The sequence below is a fragment of the Homo sapiens genome, chromosome 8, assembly GCF_000001405.40.
Source record: "Homo sapiens chromosome 8, GRCh38.p14 Primary Assembly".
Taxonomy (NCBI): Eukaryota; Metazoa; Chordata; class Mammalia; order Primates; family Hominidae; genus Homo; species Homo sapiens.
Window position 1 is genome coordinate 105,477,667 of NC_000008.11, and position 17,020 is coordinate 105,494,686.

Consider the following 17,020-nt stretch of genomic DNA (forward strand, 5'->3'; position numbering starts at 1 on the left):
TTCTAACCATATCTTCTCCTAAAACATAGTTGTTAGTAACGATCTTGAGAAAGATAGCCTGACAATGTTTCATGTGCATTTGCATTAGGTAATGGATCTTCCATTCTACCAAGGTGGAAACTTAGATCCAAATAGCTTGCATGCCTTTTTCAAGGTTATATAATGAGTTTGAATAACTGGGCCTAGAAACTGAGTCTCTAACTTACTTTAAAGTCTTCTTTCCATTATCCTACTACTCTGAGTTTTCTGCTTCAGATCACTCAGGATTAAGGGTTGTATTCATCACTTTTTTCCTTTCTGCACAGTGCAATTACTTCCATGATAAGGATTGTTTAATTTTGGCTCCAGGGGAAATGAAATTTTTCAAGTCTGGGAACATGGAACTCTGATCCAAATTTGCAAAGCAACAATGAGTCATTTGACATAACTCTACTTCATTGTTTTCCTCATTAGACATCTTCCATCTTAAATGCGGCTGACCACGGGAATGGAAGCTCACACACTTGAGTTCAAGTGGCAGCATCCAGCCCCGATACTTTCTGAATGTGTGGTTTGGGTAATTGCTTTGGCTTCTCTTGTGTAGTGTTTTCTCATTTACTAACATCAACATGGGTTAAAACTGATGTGAAGATTGAATGATAATGTATGTTGAACTTCCTGTGTAAATTGTACTGAAAAAATGCTATTTGGATGTTGTTTAAAAATGCAAGTTTCTACTTATCCAACTTTATAGGAATGGAATGTGTCAAAAGAAGTGATTGTCTTCTACTCTCTCCAAGACCCGGTGAGACTGGACCCATACTTAAAATGCCAGAGCCAGGGTTAGCTAAATTAATACATCTCCTAATGGTCCTGATTCCTTCTGGAAATTATCCGGGTGGGCTGGGAGCAGGGTTTTGTCACTCATCCTTGTAGTTTGAGGCTTCCTAATGGCACAGAAATTTATGTTTCATAAAATCTGAGTTAAATAAGAGTGTTAGTACTGGGAAGTACCTTAGAGACACAGAGAACTATAGATTTGCAAGTCTCTTCTCTGTAAATATTAATAAAGACATTTTTCATAAGCATCTTTTTCCTAAACTGTCTCTGGTCATTCTGCTGACCACCAGCTTGGGCGTGAGAAGCACTGCCTTGGAAGACATGGCTTCTTCAAACTCCTAATCAGTATTCAGTTATCCTACTCTAGCAAGGATACCCCTCTGGGTGAGGATTTCGTGGAATGCTACTAAAGTCTATCCTCAGTTTCGAGCCCCAAAACATTTTACTGAGAATAAAGAAGGGACCAAAGATAATACATGAATTTTTATTTATTTTCTGGTTGCTCTTCATAATAATGCAATGTATAGTCTAGAAAAATGGAAATATTTTTTTACAGAAAGTATAACTTTCTCTTTTAAGTGTTGTTCTCACAGGTCATAAAATCCTGAATTTTGTATCATGATCTTAGCTGACGATGGTAAAGTCTCTGATTTGTCTTATTCTGAGGTTAATTTTACATTGACCCAATGCTACGATATTCTGATTGAAGTTTAAATTCAGACCGATTTGTGGAAGCTCATGTCATTTCGAGAAAACTAACAAGACATGAAGGTGTTTCATTTTATTTCCCGCTTACTATCCTTCAGAACTGGCAGAAATAGGTATTTCTATTGTCTATAAAACCTGTCATTTTATTTTTTTCCTAGTAAACATTGTTTCTTTTTAAGACTGTAACATACTTGAGGGCAGATAACTTTTTTTAAAAAGTCATGTTACTCCTTTCTGGCTTCTGATTCTGCACCTTGTACACAGAAGGTAGTGGCTCAAAATGTGCAAATTCTTCCAAAACATTTACATAATGTGGTAATGTCTATAATTAGTTTTAAGATAAATACACTTTAGTTAAAGTCTGTCTAACCAGTGAAATATTTAATACTACCATTTTTGAAGAACAATGATTAGGAGTCAGCCATTATAAACAAGGAGGAAATTGTTGGAAAAACTTGTTGCATTTCTATTTTTGCAGCTCATTGGCTTGTTACTGGAAGTGAAAGAATGTTTATTATTTCAGGAAGTAAAGGCCATTAGAAGCTTATTTGTCTGAGAGAATCTACAATATTGGTTTTCTATAACCTGGGATATGTTATGAAACATGTTTACAAAAATTGTGACTTCAGGCTTGGTGAGCATTTTTTTTTTATAATAGCTAGTCCTTTGCCAGATCTGTAATGTAAAATTCGACCAATTTTTCTATGTATCAGATATCATGCTTATTTTAAAGTATTTTTCTGTTTCAATGCTGTTTTTATTACACTGCATAGATCAAGGAATTGAAATGCTAGTGAGTCACTTGAACTCCCCGTTGAGCATCAAATAGTGGTAGGTAACCACTAGCTGTAAGCTCAGTTATTGCTGTGATAATCTTTTGAGAGTGGGTGATTATGGTAGTACATTGTTTTCTTGCCATTGCTTTTCTCATAGGTAGCTGCTCTTAGCTTCATTTGACTAATGGAAATTTTAAATTCTGCTTCATGGTTCACAGGGGAGTAGAGAGCAACCATATATCTTATGCCCAGGTTTCTGAACTGCATGGTGCTTGAAAGAAAAGAGCAGCATTTACCCAGGGAGCATTGGTACCTTATCTAATTTGCCACTTCTTTCTTCCTTTCAGAATCATTTCATCTTCCTATGCCTGCATTCATGCACGTATCTGCCACTTACACGGAGGTTATATTGCATAACTGAGCCTACAAATATAACTATATCTAAACAATCTCAGGTATTGTCACCAGTATCATTGTAGAGTCCAGGTGCATGTGCTACCGCAGAGAAAATAAGTTATGTAATGTGCAAGCAATTTCTACTCTTTCCTTTTAGCAAACCCTTAATACCAACTAGACTTATATTTTCCTCTTTAATCAAAAACTATTTATTGAACTTATACAAGGGTGGACTACTGAACTAGAATGTAAAATTAATTCAAGAAAAAAAGGCATATTCTGCAAAAGTTGAAAAGAGCCCTTTGCAGGGAGAAGAAATATTTTAAGTTATAACTGCAGGCAATATGTGTTTCCTGAATTAGGGAATGATGGCACTGTGGGATTACATTTTTTTTTTTTTTTTGAGACGGACTTTTGCTCTGCCTCCCAGTCTGGAGTACTGTGGCAGGATCTCGGCTCACTGCAAGCTCCACCTCCCAGGTTCACACCATTCTCCTGCCTCAGCCTCCCAAGTAGCTGGGACTATGGGCACCCGCCACCATGCTCAGCTAATTTTTTGTATTTTTAGTAGAGACGGGGTTTCACTGTGTTAGCCAAGATGGTCTCGAACTCCTGACCACGTGATCCACCCACCTTGGCCTCCCAAAGTGCTGGGATTACAGGCGTGAGCCACCATGCCTGGCTGGGATTACATTTTTTAAAAATCCAGTTCACAGAAGTGGTTGCAAAGGTCAGAGTAAAAGTGGTTTAGTGCGGACTAGGAGAACATGTTACATCATAGTGGGAGAGCCTGTCACATCATACTTTCAGTGTAAGAATATTTCTAAAAAAAAAATTGGGGCTATATTGCTTCCCTTAATTTTCTCTATTTGTTTTGCTCCACTGTATTAATCTGCTTGAGCTTCTATAACAAAATTCCTTGGACTGTGTGGCTTAAACAACTGAAATTTATTTTCTCGCAGTTCTGGAGGCTGGATGCCCAAGATCAGGTGCCAGCATGGTCTGGTTGGTGGTGGGGGCTCCCTTCCTGGCTTGCAGATGGCCACCTTCTAGCTGTGTGCACACGTGGCCTTTTCTGTTTGTGCACACGGAAAGACGGGAGCTCTGCTTTCTCTTCCTCCTCTTATAAGGACTCTAATCCTATTGGATTAGGCTCCTAAATTTATGAGCTAATAATCTAACCATAATTACTTCTGTAAAGGCCCTATATTCAAATACTGTCATAGTGGGAATTAGGGCTTCCACATAGGAATTTCGGAGGGACACAAGTCCCTCCCAAATGTTCAGTTGAGCAACCACCAATGGGTCTGTTAAGTGAATGGTATTAATATAGTAAGAATGTATCTTAAGTAGGTAAGTTAGCATGTAGTTGATATCCAGGTAAGAACCAGACAGCAACCCCTTTATTAGATTGACCTCTACTGAGGCCAGACCAGACTGTCAGTTTTGGATGCAGTCACAAACTAACTCGATAGTGTGTGTTGGAGCACAAATTCAAGCTCAAAATAACATCATCAGCAACAACAGCAACTTATTGCCACAAATAATAAGAAAAATCCCAATTTGAATTTGACTTCTGAGTAAATGATTTGGGCCTGAGTGAATGGGCAGTTATCAACATTACATATATGCACTAAAGTAATCTGTATCCCTTATTATTAACAATTTGGTCATCAGATTGTGTAATGTTTTTCTGCCTGATTTACCAATTATGGCAAAAGGTATGTTTCCATCTTCCATTATGACAATGGATTTGTCAGCTTTTCTCTTGTAATTCACTGTATTTTTACTTTATGTATTTTAAGGCTATGCCATCAAGTGCATGGAAGTCAATTTTTATTTCCTAGTGAATTATTAATTCAATAATTATCTAATTACTCTATCCTTAATAGTGATTTTTTTGGCTATAATTCTGTTTACTCTGATATAGTATCTTTCCTGTACACTTTCTCTATTCCTTTTCCTCTTTTCTTTTTTAGATGTACTTCATGAATGTAGCATACAGGCAGATTTTTAAAAAATTAAATTCAGATGCTTTGTCCATTAACTGGATACTTCTCTTTGCATTTATTGTGATTACTGATCTAGTTCTATTTATTTTTACCATATAATATGGTATACATTTTTTAATTCTTTTTCCTTCTTTTCACAAACTTCTTTTATGTCAACTTTTAAAAAATGTCTTTTTTCCCCTCTACCAACTTAGCAGACATAAATTTTATTTCTGTTTTTTAGTGGTTTTCTTTCAATGTTTATTTTGATATTTCCCATCATAGCAAAATCTATCATTATTCAACATCTATAGTCTTCTTCCAAATATGCAGACTTTAGAATCATTTAATACCCAGGACACCCTCCTATTTTACATGAATTTGTTTCCTAATATTTTAGAAATTTGCAATTATTGTATTACATGTGAAATATTTATTTAGATGCATTATTTTGTTTATCTGCTTATTTACCTGCATTCTTGTTCACTGTTGATACTTGCATCTCATTTCTTTAATCTTTCTTTCCTTCCTTCCTTCCTTCCTTCTTTCCTTCCTTCTTTACTTCCCCTTTCCTTTCCCCTTCTCTTCCTTTCTTCCCTCCCTCCCTTATCTCCTTCCCTCCCTCCCTCCCCCCATCCTTTCCTTCCTTCCTTCCTTCCTTCCTTCCTTCCTTCCTTCCTTCTTTATTTTAACAGGATCTTGCTATGTTGCCCAGGCTGGTCTTAAACTCCTGGTCTCAAGCAATCATCCCACCTCAGCCTCCAAAAGTGCTAGGATTATAGGCATGAGCCACGGCACACAGCCTCCTGTAATTTCTTGAAATAAATTAGTAGTTACCTCTGCAATGTTCTCTTAATAATAAATTCTCAGCCCTTTTGGTCTAAACAAAAACTTTATTCAGCCCTCACTGTTGAATAATAAATTGGCTATATTAAAGTTTATGTTCAGTTGAGCTGGGTGTGGTGGCTTATGTCTGTAATCCCAGCACTTTGGGAAGCTGAGGCGAGTGGATTGCTTGAGGTCAGGAGTTCGAGACCAGCTTGGCCAACATGGTGAAACCCCATCTCTACTAAAAATACAAAAATTAGCTGGGTGTGGTGGCAGGCGCCTGTAATCCCAGCTACTAGGGAGGCTGAGGCAGGAGAATCACTTGAATTCGGGAGGCAGAGGTTGCAGTGAGCTGAGATCCTGCCACTGCCCTCCAGCCTGGGTGACAAAGTGGGAGTCCATCTCAAAAAAAAAAAAAAATGTTTACGTTCAGTTGATTTCTCATAGATCTTTGAAGATATAATTCTATTATTTTCTGGCTTCTTTTCTTGCTGCTGGAAAGATTGTCAGATTAATTGTAATTCTTTTGTCAGTCATCTGTCTTTTCTCTTTGATTACTTTTTCTTTTCTTTTTTTTTTTTTGAGGTGGAGTCTTGCTCTGTCCAGTGGCGCGATCTTGGCTCACTGCAACCTCTGCCTCCCAGGTGCATGCCATTCTCCTGCCTCAGCCTCCCGAGTAGCTGGGACTACAGGTGCCTGCCACCACGCCCGGCTAATTTTTTTGTATTTTTAGTAGAGAGTGGGTTTCACCGTGTTATCCAGGATGGTCTCGATCTCCTGACCCCATGATCCGCCCACCTCAGCCTCCCAAGGTGCTGGGATTACAGGTGTGAGCCACTGCACCTGGCCTCTTTGATTACTTTTAAATCTTCTTTTTTACTTTGATGTTCTGCAGTTGCATATGATCTTTCTAGGTGTGGCTTTATTTTTTATCTTTTTGTGATTTGTGTTTGCCAAATATAATGATTCATTTCATTCATCGATTTCAGAAAGCTTTAGACATTATTTCTTCAAAATATTTCTATTTCTTCACTATATTCTTTTCTTTTAGAATTCATGTTTGAGATATAAACTATTCATTCTGCTCTCCATGTATCTTAATAAATTTTTTTTAACTACTTAAATTAGTTAAGTCTAATCAATGGTTTAGTTAATTAGTTAAGTCTAATCAATTTTTCCTCTGAGGTTTTAATTTAAATATATTTATTTCTAGAAATTTTATTTCATATTTTCTAATTGGACTTCAGTTTTAATAGTGATTTGTTATACCCTTATGGATGTTTTCATTAATCCTATTAAGTCATTAATAATTTTAAATATACATATTTTTGGCATCTTTTTAACTAATTTTAATCAGTTTCCTCAACTGCCAAGGAAAATAATTTCATTTACTCATTGAGTTACTATGGGTGTTTAATTAATGAGTACACGTCCTTAGAATAGTGCCACACTGCCTGACACCTAGTAATTTCTCAATAAATATTGGCTACTATTTTTATTGTTATCATCCCCAGAAGATTATAAGGGCCTGTCCCTGTTTTATCGTTAGGCTGATGAATTTGTGTATTTATCTGTGTGTTTTCTAATTTGGGGTTGTGAGCTTTTCTTAGGGGGCCTTCATCTATGGAAATTGTGGGTGGTTTGGGAAGACATCTTTCTGGAGCAGCTTTTCTATTTGTCAGCTTTGCCCTAGGAATATTACCAACCTAGGGTGTTTTTGGTCCCAACTTATTAAAGGAGGTTTGGATTCTCAGAGATAGGACAATATAAACTCTACAGCCAAACCCTGATAAAGACAGACTAGTGGGCCAATGCTGACATTCTTTCAGGAAGAACATGTGTAATTTACCTCTTAAAGTCCAGAGCCCAGTTCAAGACAAACAAGCTTCCCTGGTAACTTTATACATTGGTAAGTATCGCCCATAGAAGGGCCTGGCTTCATGAAGTGGCCTCAGTTCCAGCGAGTCATGTGGGCCTAAGCCTTAATCATTGACCACATGTAGCCTCAAATGCCCAGGGTAACCAACGACAGAGTCCAACAGCCAGCCTGCAGGGAGCAGCAGCATCAGTCCAGGGGTTACTGAGAGGTTACTGGTTACTGCTTGTTTTTTTTTGTTTGTTTGTTTGTTTGTTTTTGATTGAGTGAGAATAACAAAGTCCGATGTGTTTTTTAGAAAGGCTGTCATTGTAATTAACCAGGCTAGTACATCTGCAGTCCTGGGTTCTCTGGAGGCTGAGGGAGGAGATCTCTTGAGTCTAGGAGTTCAAGGCTGCAATGAGCTATGATTGTGCCTCTGCTCTCCAACCTGGGTGACAGAGCGAGACTCTATCTCTATAAAAGAAAGAAAGAAATATTGTCATTGTAGCCTCTGTGTAACGGCCTGTAAGCCTGGATGTTAGGAGACTAAAGCAATGATTTTGGCAAAAGATGATGAGGACTTGAAAGAAGGCAGGAGAAGCAGAGACTGAGAAGAGGGAAGAGCAACTATAGACTCTAAAAGAAGCTGTAGGACTTTGTTAAAGATTTCAAGAGCAAAGACAGATAAGAGTAGCAAGTAAGAAAAGGTGGACTACTGGGGGAAAGGGACTCTGTAGAACTTTGATAGTTAAGGAAGGATAGGGTAAGAGAATCCAGACAAGGAGACTGAAAAGGGACTGTCAAAATGACAGGAGGAAAACTAGAAGAAGCGATTTAAGCTTCTTTTTTGTAAAAATTTAAGGCATTACCGGTGAATTATGACTTATGCTGACCATCTATTTAGCTAAGCATGGCCCGATTTAGATACTAGAGCAGGTTCAATAACACGGAGATCTATCACCTGAGCTTTGGATGACTCACATGAAAAGCTGGCCAGGAGATGAGAAAATGGAGGCCTCTTTTTAAAAGCTTTTCAGAAATGGATCTTTCTGGTTGTCATTATTCCTTCTGCTTGACTCATAATCCTACTTCTATAAGTGAGAAGGCGATAATCTCCTAAGAATTCACTTGAACCTTATGGAATGGGGTCTGTTACTCAGTAAGCATCTTATTGGATGTCTAGTCCTAATATTTTAGTGTTACTACTTGAAACATGATGCGTGACTTTTCTTAATATATGTATTATGAATGACTTCTCTTTGGACTTAACCTGAACAGTGTTCTCAAAAGAAGTTACCTTGTTTGTGTGTGTATGGTGTCTGTTTGTGTGTGTATGCTGTGTGTTTGTGTGTGTTTTAATCAATTTGGCCTAACAAAGGAGTCCATACATTTTTTTTTCCTTCTAAAACTCTGGAGGGTTGAAATGTTTTTGCCCTTGGAAGATTGTTCCTGATAACTGTCTTGATAACTGTCCTAGGTATTTGCTTGTATTTTCAGAAATAGGGAAAGGGACATTAGCTTTTTAGACTCACTTCGGGATCCTTTGCTATCAACACCAAACTGTGCGGGAAAAGAACATCACTGAAATTTACATCATATAAGAAATGATTTTTTTAACTGAATTGGGTAGGTACCTAGCAATCTAGAGAAATTTCAGATTCAGGGATATTGACAGATAAAGACAAAGCTCAAAGAGATTGATGTGTATAAGATCTGAGTTTATTTATTTGCAATGAAAAATATGTTTGTCAGATGGACCAGAGATTCAAGTTAGTCTTTTGATTATACTTTTTTCCTCTGTAAGCAAGCCATATGAGAAGTCTGATTATTAGTTGGATGCTTAGCAAGGTTGTGATCAAAATTAGGGATCTAGTCACATTACACTAATATTTAAATGTGTACGCTTTTGATAGTCTATTTGCCTATCTTCACAATTAGGATAAACTCACAAGTCTGATGAAGTACTCACAGTGGCTTGTCAGGTACCCCCTTCTCTTGGTTTTTGGTGCTTTCATAGCTTCTTAATTCACCTTCTAAGTGGATTTTTAAAAGCTTATATGTAGTGTGTTATATTATATTTTTATTTTTGAGATAGAGTCTCTCTCTGCCACCTAGGCTGGAGTGCAGTGGTGCAATCATGGCTCACTGTAGCCTGGACCTCCTGGGCTCAAGCGATCCTCCCACCGCAGCCTCCTTACTCGAGTAGCTGGGACTACAGGTGTGCACCACCATGCCCGGCTGCTTTTAAACATTTTTTGAAGAAATGAGGTCTTCCCATATTGCCCAGGCTGGTGCTGAATTCTTGGGCTCAAGCTATCCTCTTGCCTCGGCCTCCCAAAGTATTGGGATTACAGGTGTGAGCCACCATATCCAGCCACAATATGTCATATTATACATCTAAGTTTTAATTTATTCATTGTTTTCCCCATTAGAATGCAAACTCCATGGTTCTACAGAACACGATTTACAGAATCAGCAAATGATTTCTGTAAAGGACTACTTATGGAGTGTATACTTTGACGTTGTTGTGCAAATGCAGCAGTAGACCATTCATAAATTAATGGACATGAATGTGTTCCAGTGAAACTTTATTTACAAAAGCAGATGGAGGGCCAGATATTACCAAGCTCTGCACTAGAACAGTATCTGGCACATAATAGGAATTAAAAAAAAACTCTATAGAATAAATGAAATGAATCAGGAGATTATTACCATCATCATCATCGTCATCATTATCATCATCTACTACATTTGCCCAGGTTTTATTAAGTAATTATTTGGCACTGTGCTAAATGACCTATACACATTTTCTTATTTAATTTGTTACTTTAACCCTATAAAGTCTGTCTGTCTATCTATCTATCTATCTATCTATCTATCTATCTATCTAGCTAGCTAGCTAGCTAGCTATCTGTCATGTCTTTTTTTAGAGTCATTTTAGTTTTACAGCAAAATTGAGAGCGAAGGTGCAGAAGCATCCCATGTACCTCTGCCCCAACATATATACAACCCTCCCATTACCGAGATCCCCCACCACAACAGTACATTTGTTACAATTGATGAATCTGTATTGACACATCATAATCAATCGAAGTTCACAGTTTTCATTAGGGACACCAGTTAATATTTGTTTCAAATGCAAGTGAACAAAATCCCAAAATAACATTGGCTTATATACGAAAGGTTATCTTTCTAAATGTATATGGAGTTTAGAATAAGCAATCCGTGATGTATTGACAGCTCCAGAATTAGGAAGAATCTAGCTTCATTCCATTTTGTTGTTCCATTATCTTCAACCGTGCATTTCCATTCAGTGGCTGCTTGTTAGGAAGATGAGTGCGGGCAAATAGTGGAAGTAAATAGTTTCTGCAACATTTGGATCTTCATTATTTCCATTTTGCAGAATAGGAAACACAGGGTTAGAAAGGTTAAGTAACAGCCGGGCGCGGTGGTTTACACCTGTAATCCCAGCACTTTGGGAGGCTGAGGCAGGTGGATCACAAGGTCAGGAGTTCAAGACCAGCCTGGCCAATATGGTGAAACCCTGTCTCTACTAAAAAACAATACAAAAATTAGCCGGGCATGGTGGTGCGCGCCTGTAGTCCCAGCTACTCAGGAGGCTGAGGCAGAAGAATTGCTCCAACCCAAGAGGCGGAGGTTGTGGTGAGCCGAGATCGCACCACTGCACTCCAGCCTGGGTGACAGAGCGAGACTCCATCTCAAAAAAATAAAAGAAAGGTTAAGTAACTGGCCCAAAGTAAAAGAATTGGAGGAAAAGAGATTCTATGTGAACAAACCAGGCCTCTCAGATCTCTAATTGTCTTCCAATGTTGGAAGCCATTTTCTCTCTTAAGGAAGACTCGATCTGTCCGGGTCCATTATGTAATTTAGTTTGAAACATTATTTTCCATTGGAAAACTCATTTTCTTCTATTTCAAGTGTTTTAATATCATAATGATACTAACACCTTAAGAACCTTAAGAACTACCTGTAATATTCATAAGTTAATCTGAATTGATGCATTTGGTTCTGATGCCATTGAGAGTATATTCATGACTTTCCCATGAAGGTATAATATAGCAGTACATTTCTAAAGGGCACTGTAGTTGAGTCCACAGTAGGGAGAACAGAGGCCACCACTGCCACTGTGTCACCGCATAGTCATATTTTCAGCAATCAGTTAGAGAAAAATCCTGTGCTAAATATTCTCTATTTAGAAGAAATTTGCCAAATAATGTCGGTAATAAGATGATATCACTTTACCATTCATTATGACAAGAACACGTTTCATGTATATGTAAAACGTTATATATATATTTATAGGTATATATTTATATATTTATAGATATATATTTTATATATATTTATAGATATATCTTTTATATATATTTATAGATATATGTTTTTATATATATATATATATATTTTTTTTTTTTTTTGAGATGGAATCTCACTTTGTTGCCCAGGCTAGAGTGCAGTGGCATGATCTCAGCTCACTGCAGCCTCTGCCTCATGGGTTCATGGAACTGTCCTGCCTCAGCCTCCCCAGTAGCTGGGATTGCAGGTGCATGCCACCATGCCTGGCTAATTTTTGTATTTTTAGTAGAAATGGAGTTTCACCATGTTGGCCAGGCTGGTCTCGAACTCCTGATCTCAGGTGAACCACCTGCCTTGGCTTCCCAAAGTGCTGGGATTACAGGTGTGAGCCACTGTGCCTGACCCAAAAAAGCTGTATTTTAAGAGTTGTTTTCTCATTCTTAACTAAAATCATAAGAAATTCAAATTGCTCTATCAAATTCTTACACTTATATTTTCAAAACAAATCAAGCTTCTGAAGATTTTAACAAAGGGGACTCACAACTAATTACCTCATATGATTTCTGTGTAGCTTTTTATAGTAGATTATTTTTAAAAAATGATGTCCTGCCAGGTGCGGTGGCTCACACCTGTAATCCTAGCACTTTGGGAGGCCAAGGTGGGTGGATCACGAGGTCAGGGGTTCAAGACCAGCCCGACCAACATGGTGAAACCCCGTCTCTACTAAAAATACAAAAATTAGCTGGGCGTGGTGGCGGGCACCTGTAATCCCAGCTACTCAGGAGGCTGAGGCAGGAGAATTGCTTGAACCCGGGAGGCGGAGGTTGCAGTGAGCCAAGATCCTGCCACTGCACTCCAGCATGGGAGACAGAGGGAGACTCCGTCTCAAAAAAAAAGAAAAATGATATCCTAGCAAGTTTAAAATTTTATCAAATGTTTATTTTTATTCATTTGAGTTTATTTCTAAACTGAGATGGTGTTATCTTTTATAAACTACTTTCTGGTAAAAGCTTTCCATTTTTATAATTTTTTAAATGCTATATGGAGTTATTTCTACATAAACAGCAATAGAGAACCACTAAAAATCTGTAGTCCAGAATAATAGTCCTTTTTGTTTCTTGCTGTAGCAGATAGACAGACCACAGCTATTGTTGCCTAAAACTTCAAAGGTATAACTATGTTTACATACATTTTGCACATATGTGTATTTGGTTATCAATGTTATATTTAAACAAGTGATATTGAGCTAATTCTGAAGATAGAAAATCCAACTTTTGTTGTAGCATTTTATTTTCATATTTCTAAAATGAGCAATTTGAAGGCGGGAATACTTTCTTATATATGTTTAAATTGTAAGTAGGAAGTATAGAGCCAGGCCCATGGACATGGCTGAGTAAATAAGTGCTTGAATGAATGAAATTAAAAATAAAACTTCCAATCTAATATAAAATGATGTGTACAAAATACAGTACTTGCATGTCTTAAGATCATACACTGAAAACATTTTCTAACATATAACTAATGAAAAATAAGGCTTTTAAAGGACAATATTTAAAAATATGTACTCAAAATTTTACTATTGAAATAAAATGATAATTTTAAAAGGTCATCTTTATATCAAAGATATAAATCCCAAGACCACTCTTCTTGATATTATGCAAACATCTTGTTTTTAGAAATATTTGGTTTTTTAAAAATCTTCTGTCATCACCCACAGTAACACTCTTTTATATTTGGATGGCATGTATATTTAATTGGAAATTGCCTGCAATTTGAAATTCTGAAGACCATTTCAACCAAAGAACTGTTTCACTCTGATTAAGCCACATTGTATTTTACTCTTGCTCATGAAGTATCCTGCCCTCAGCCCTGTTTTCTTTCACCTCTTGGTCAAAGAACTGCATCCTTTCATAGTGAGAAGAGTACATTAAGAAGCACAATAATAATAATAATAATAAATGTTAATCAAAAAACTGCATGTGTCTTTCTGATTGTGCCAGTGTTGTGGTATTCAATTATGCAATTTTCATTGGCATATTAATCATCTTTTCAACAAACAAGCCGGCATTAATTAAAGCAAACCATGGATAAAGACATGTTGCCGGATCATCATTCCGTTTATCACAGTGCACAGGCTGGCCGTTAAGTAAATTCCGGACTGTGAGATGAATTTCAATGTTGGCCTCATCTTTTTTGTTGTTGTTGGAGTTTGAATGCAACTCATCTAACAATAATAACAACAAACTTCAGACTTCACAAGAGCAAGATGAATTTGTCTGTAATTAATGGTGGAAAAAGAAAGAATAGCTGTATGTTTCATATGTGGAATTGGGCCACTTACATCCAAATAATTTTTGAAGATTTTCTGTTTTTTTCCCTTAACTCTAAGTGCCAGAAGGACAGGATAGAATAGTGAATTTATTGCCTTATATCTACCTTGTAAAAAATGTTCTTTGGTAAAGAGTGACTTAGTGGTTATAGATAATATGCAAAAATTGATTTTTTAAAAGAATGTATTATGATGTGTAGTATTTAAACATATGAAACTTAAAATCCTGAATTTTAATTAAAATGAAATATTTGTTGGAAATACAACACAAGTCATTACACTTTTTGAATTCCAAGCTCAATTGCAAATGTCCTTCATCTCTTATAATTTTAGACTCATTCTCAATTCTTCTTTATACGTGATTATTATAGTAGTTCCAGTTTTTCAAAGCCTACAAACATCAACAATAATCCTTATGGAAGAGATAAATCAATTTAACAAACTGTGTTAAAACAAAGAAATTCAAATATGTTTCTGTTTTACTGTGCGTTTTTAAGCTCTGCATTAGACAGTAATTATAATTCATCTTAAAACACTAGTCTCCACAACTGCATCCATTGTTTGTGCTTTTTAAGGATATAGAATTTCCACATGCTGATTATCTGTATACCAATTACATATGTATTTCTCCAACTTTACATACTTTGACATTGAAACTCCACTAAAGGTAATTGCTGCCAAAATCCCAGATTATCTCTAGTACTGAAAAAATAGTATTGAACTTTCTAAAATATGTAAACCTGAAAAAATACTATTTTGTACAAAATGCTTAGACATCTGTTTCACTTCTTAAGAAGAAAAGATACATATATTGCTTCTTGGGAAAATGACAAATGAGGGAAAATTGCCCTACACATAAAGGCCAACAAAGTGTCAAGTACAACAAAGGTAAGAAGTATTTTAGTACCATCAGTGTAAAGAAATAGTGTGAGATTTTACTATTTGCTTACAGCTTTGCTCAGCTCAAGGAAGTAATTATATTCATTTAATAGAGGTTTTGAGTAGTAAATGTAATAGTACACATAAAATTCCTGCCATATAAATCCTCATCGAACAATACTGATTAGTAATGATTATAATTAGATGCAAAACTTCTGTTCTGATTTTAATGTAAATAACTATAAATGAGAATTTTCATAGATTTTATATTTGTAAAATGCAACCTACATTTTTGATACTGTAAAGTAAAATATAATATACAAATACATAGTAATTAATGCCCTGCATTTGCAGTAGTTAGGAATGCTCAATGGATTTGCTTCCTAAATTAATGTAGTATTTTTTGTATATTTTGTCATTGACTCAGTTTTGTTAGACTCTAAGTTGACTTGAGACCTCTATTACTTCCCCACTGTGGAAGCAGCATTTATAAGAAATAATATGGTAGGAGTTAAATGTGATTAAATATGTCTGGCTTTGGAAATGCTATAAATTTAATTATTTTCTCTTAATGACTTTCATTGCAAATTAAAAGTTTGTTCATACAGAATATGGGTTGATCTTAGGACTTCCAGTTATTAGCTTGGCCTCATATGACTTTCTGAGCTTCTGTTTCTTTCAGCACCCCCAAGTGTAACTTAGCAGCTGTCTGTGAACAAAGAAAAATGATTCTTGGAGGTGCTGCTGGAAATTCTGGCAGTGGGATATGGAAAGCATCAGAATCCTTTTTGGAAAAGCAGGTATTTGAAAGTGACAGTTATTTCCAGACTAAACCCTTGAAGAAAGATGATGAAGTCCACAATTTTTTACACTTTATGCCTTGAGATTTAGACAATCTTGTACCGCATGCTATACAACACACACTGCAAGTGATAAGAGAAGTACTTCTTTTGCTCCACCTGTGATGTCACTTGATGACATCATCCGGTTGTGACAAACACTAAAGTTTGTGCACTGTGGTTATCAGATTCTCCCACCTTGGTCTCAGTTCCACTTGCCAGTTGTAGCACTCTGGCCCTGCTGTGGTATTCCAAACCATTACCTTTTACTTTAAACTCTTAATATGTCTCCCATAGATAGATAGATCTATCAATAGTCAGACAAGCAGTTAATCTGTCCACTGACATATCTTATGTTGCTTCTAACCACAGTCTTTTGTCTCTCTTTTCTGTTACAGCAAGCCTTATAAAAAGTATCCTCCTATTTTTTCCTCTATATTTTCTCCTAATTATCCCCATGCTACAGTAACACAGTTCTCAATTTTAGGAATTACTTTGCCTGTCAAACTCAAGGACTACTTATTGCTTGACTTCTCTGACCTCCAAAACAACCAAAGCAACTTCTTGAAACTATCTTCATATTGTTGGGGTTGGCCTTCTCTTTCCCATACCCTTGAAGCCTCCTTAATGTGGGTATTGCCTAAGATTCTGCCTTCAGGCTTGTCTTCTACTCAGCCTGTGCATGCTTCCTGGTGATCTCACCCATATCTGAGGTGTCACTAGGTCAGTGACTTCCAAATATGTAGCTTTAGCTCACATTTAAGCTGCCACCAAAAGTATATATATATATATATATATATATATATATATATATATATATAATCTCAAACTCAACATATCTGAAAGTGAATTTTGCAGCTTTCCTTCCAAATCAACTACTCTTTTTGCATTACACTTTTCCGTGGAAACCATCACCATCTATCCATTCCGCACGCTTAAGACCCAGGTGTCATCCTCGACTCTTGGGTACCTCCCACACCTAATTCTGCAGACGTTGTCTCTCTCCTCTCTTGTATCTGTCTCTATCCCTAGGTGCTTTTGCTTTCATAAGGGCTGTCATCATTTTTCCCTTTGAATTTACCATATTGGACTATGCCATGTCCATGACTTCCTTTCCATATGCTCTCTGCCTAGAGTGTCTTGTTACTCCATCTATATCCTTGACATTTTCCATTGTCCTTTGAAGAAGATAATAACTAAGTTACTGATTCTCAAAGTGTGGTCTCCAGACCAGCAGTAACAGCATTATCTGGGAACTTGTTAGAAAATTCTTAGGTACC

The 17,020-nt window shown here is 36.7% G+C and overlaps 1 protein-coding gene across 10 annotated transcripts in view; it reads left to right on the forward strand.

The window, feature by feature from the left end:
* ZFPM2 (zinc finger protein, FOG family member 2) overlaps positions 1–17,020 on the forward strand; it is a 486,102-nt gene that overhangs the window by 159,229 nt on the left and 309,853 nt on the right. The window contains exon 1 of one of the 10 annotated variants that reach the window (XM_047421627.1): positions 15,584–15,701. The exons of the other annotated variants lie outside the window; for them this stretch is intronic. Within the exon in view, the coding sequence (XP_047277583.1) occupies positions 15,668–15,701 (34 nt within the window). The 5' untranslated portion in view covers positions 15,584–15,667. Of the gene's footprint in view, positions 1–15,583; positions 15,702–17,020 lie in introns of those variants that run through there. 10 annotated transcript variants of the gene reach the window in all.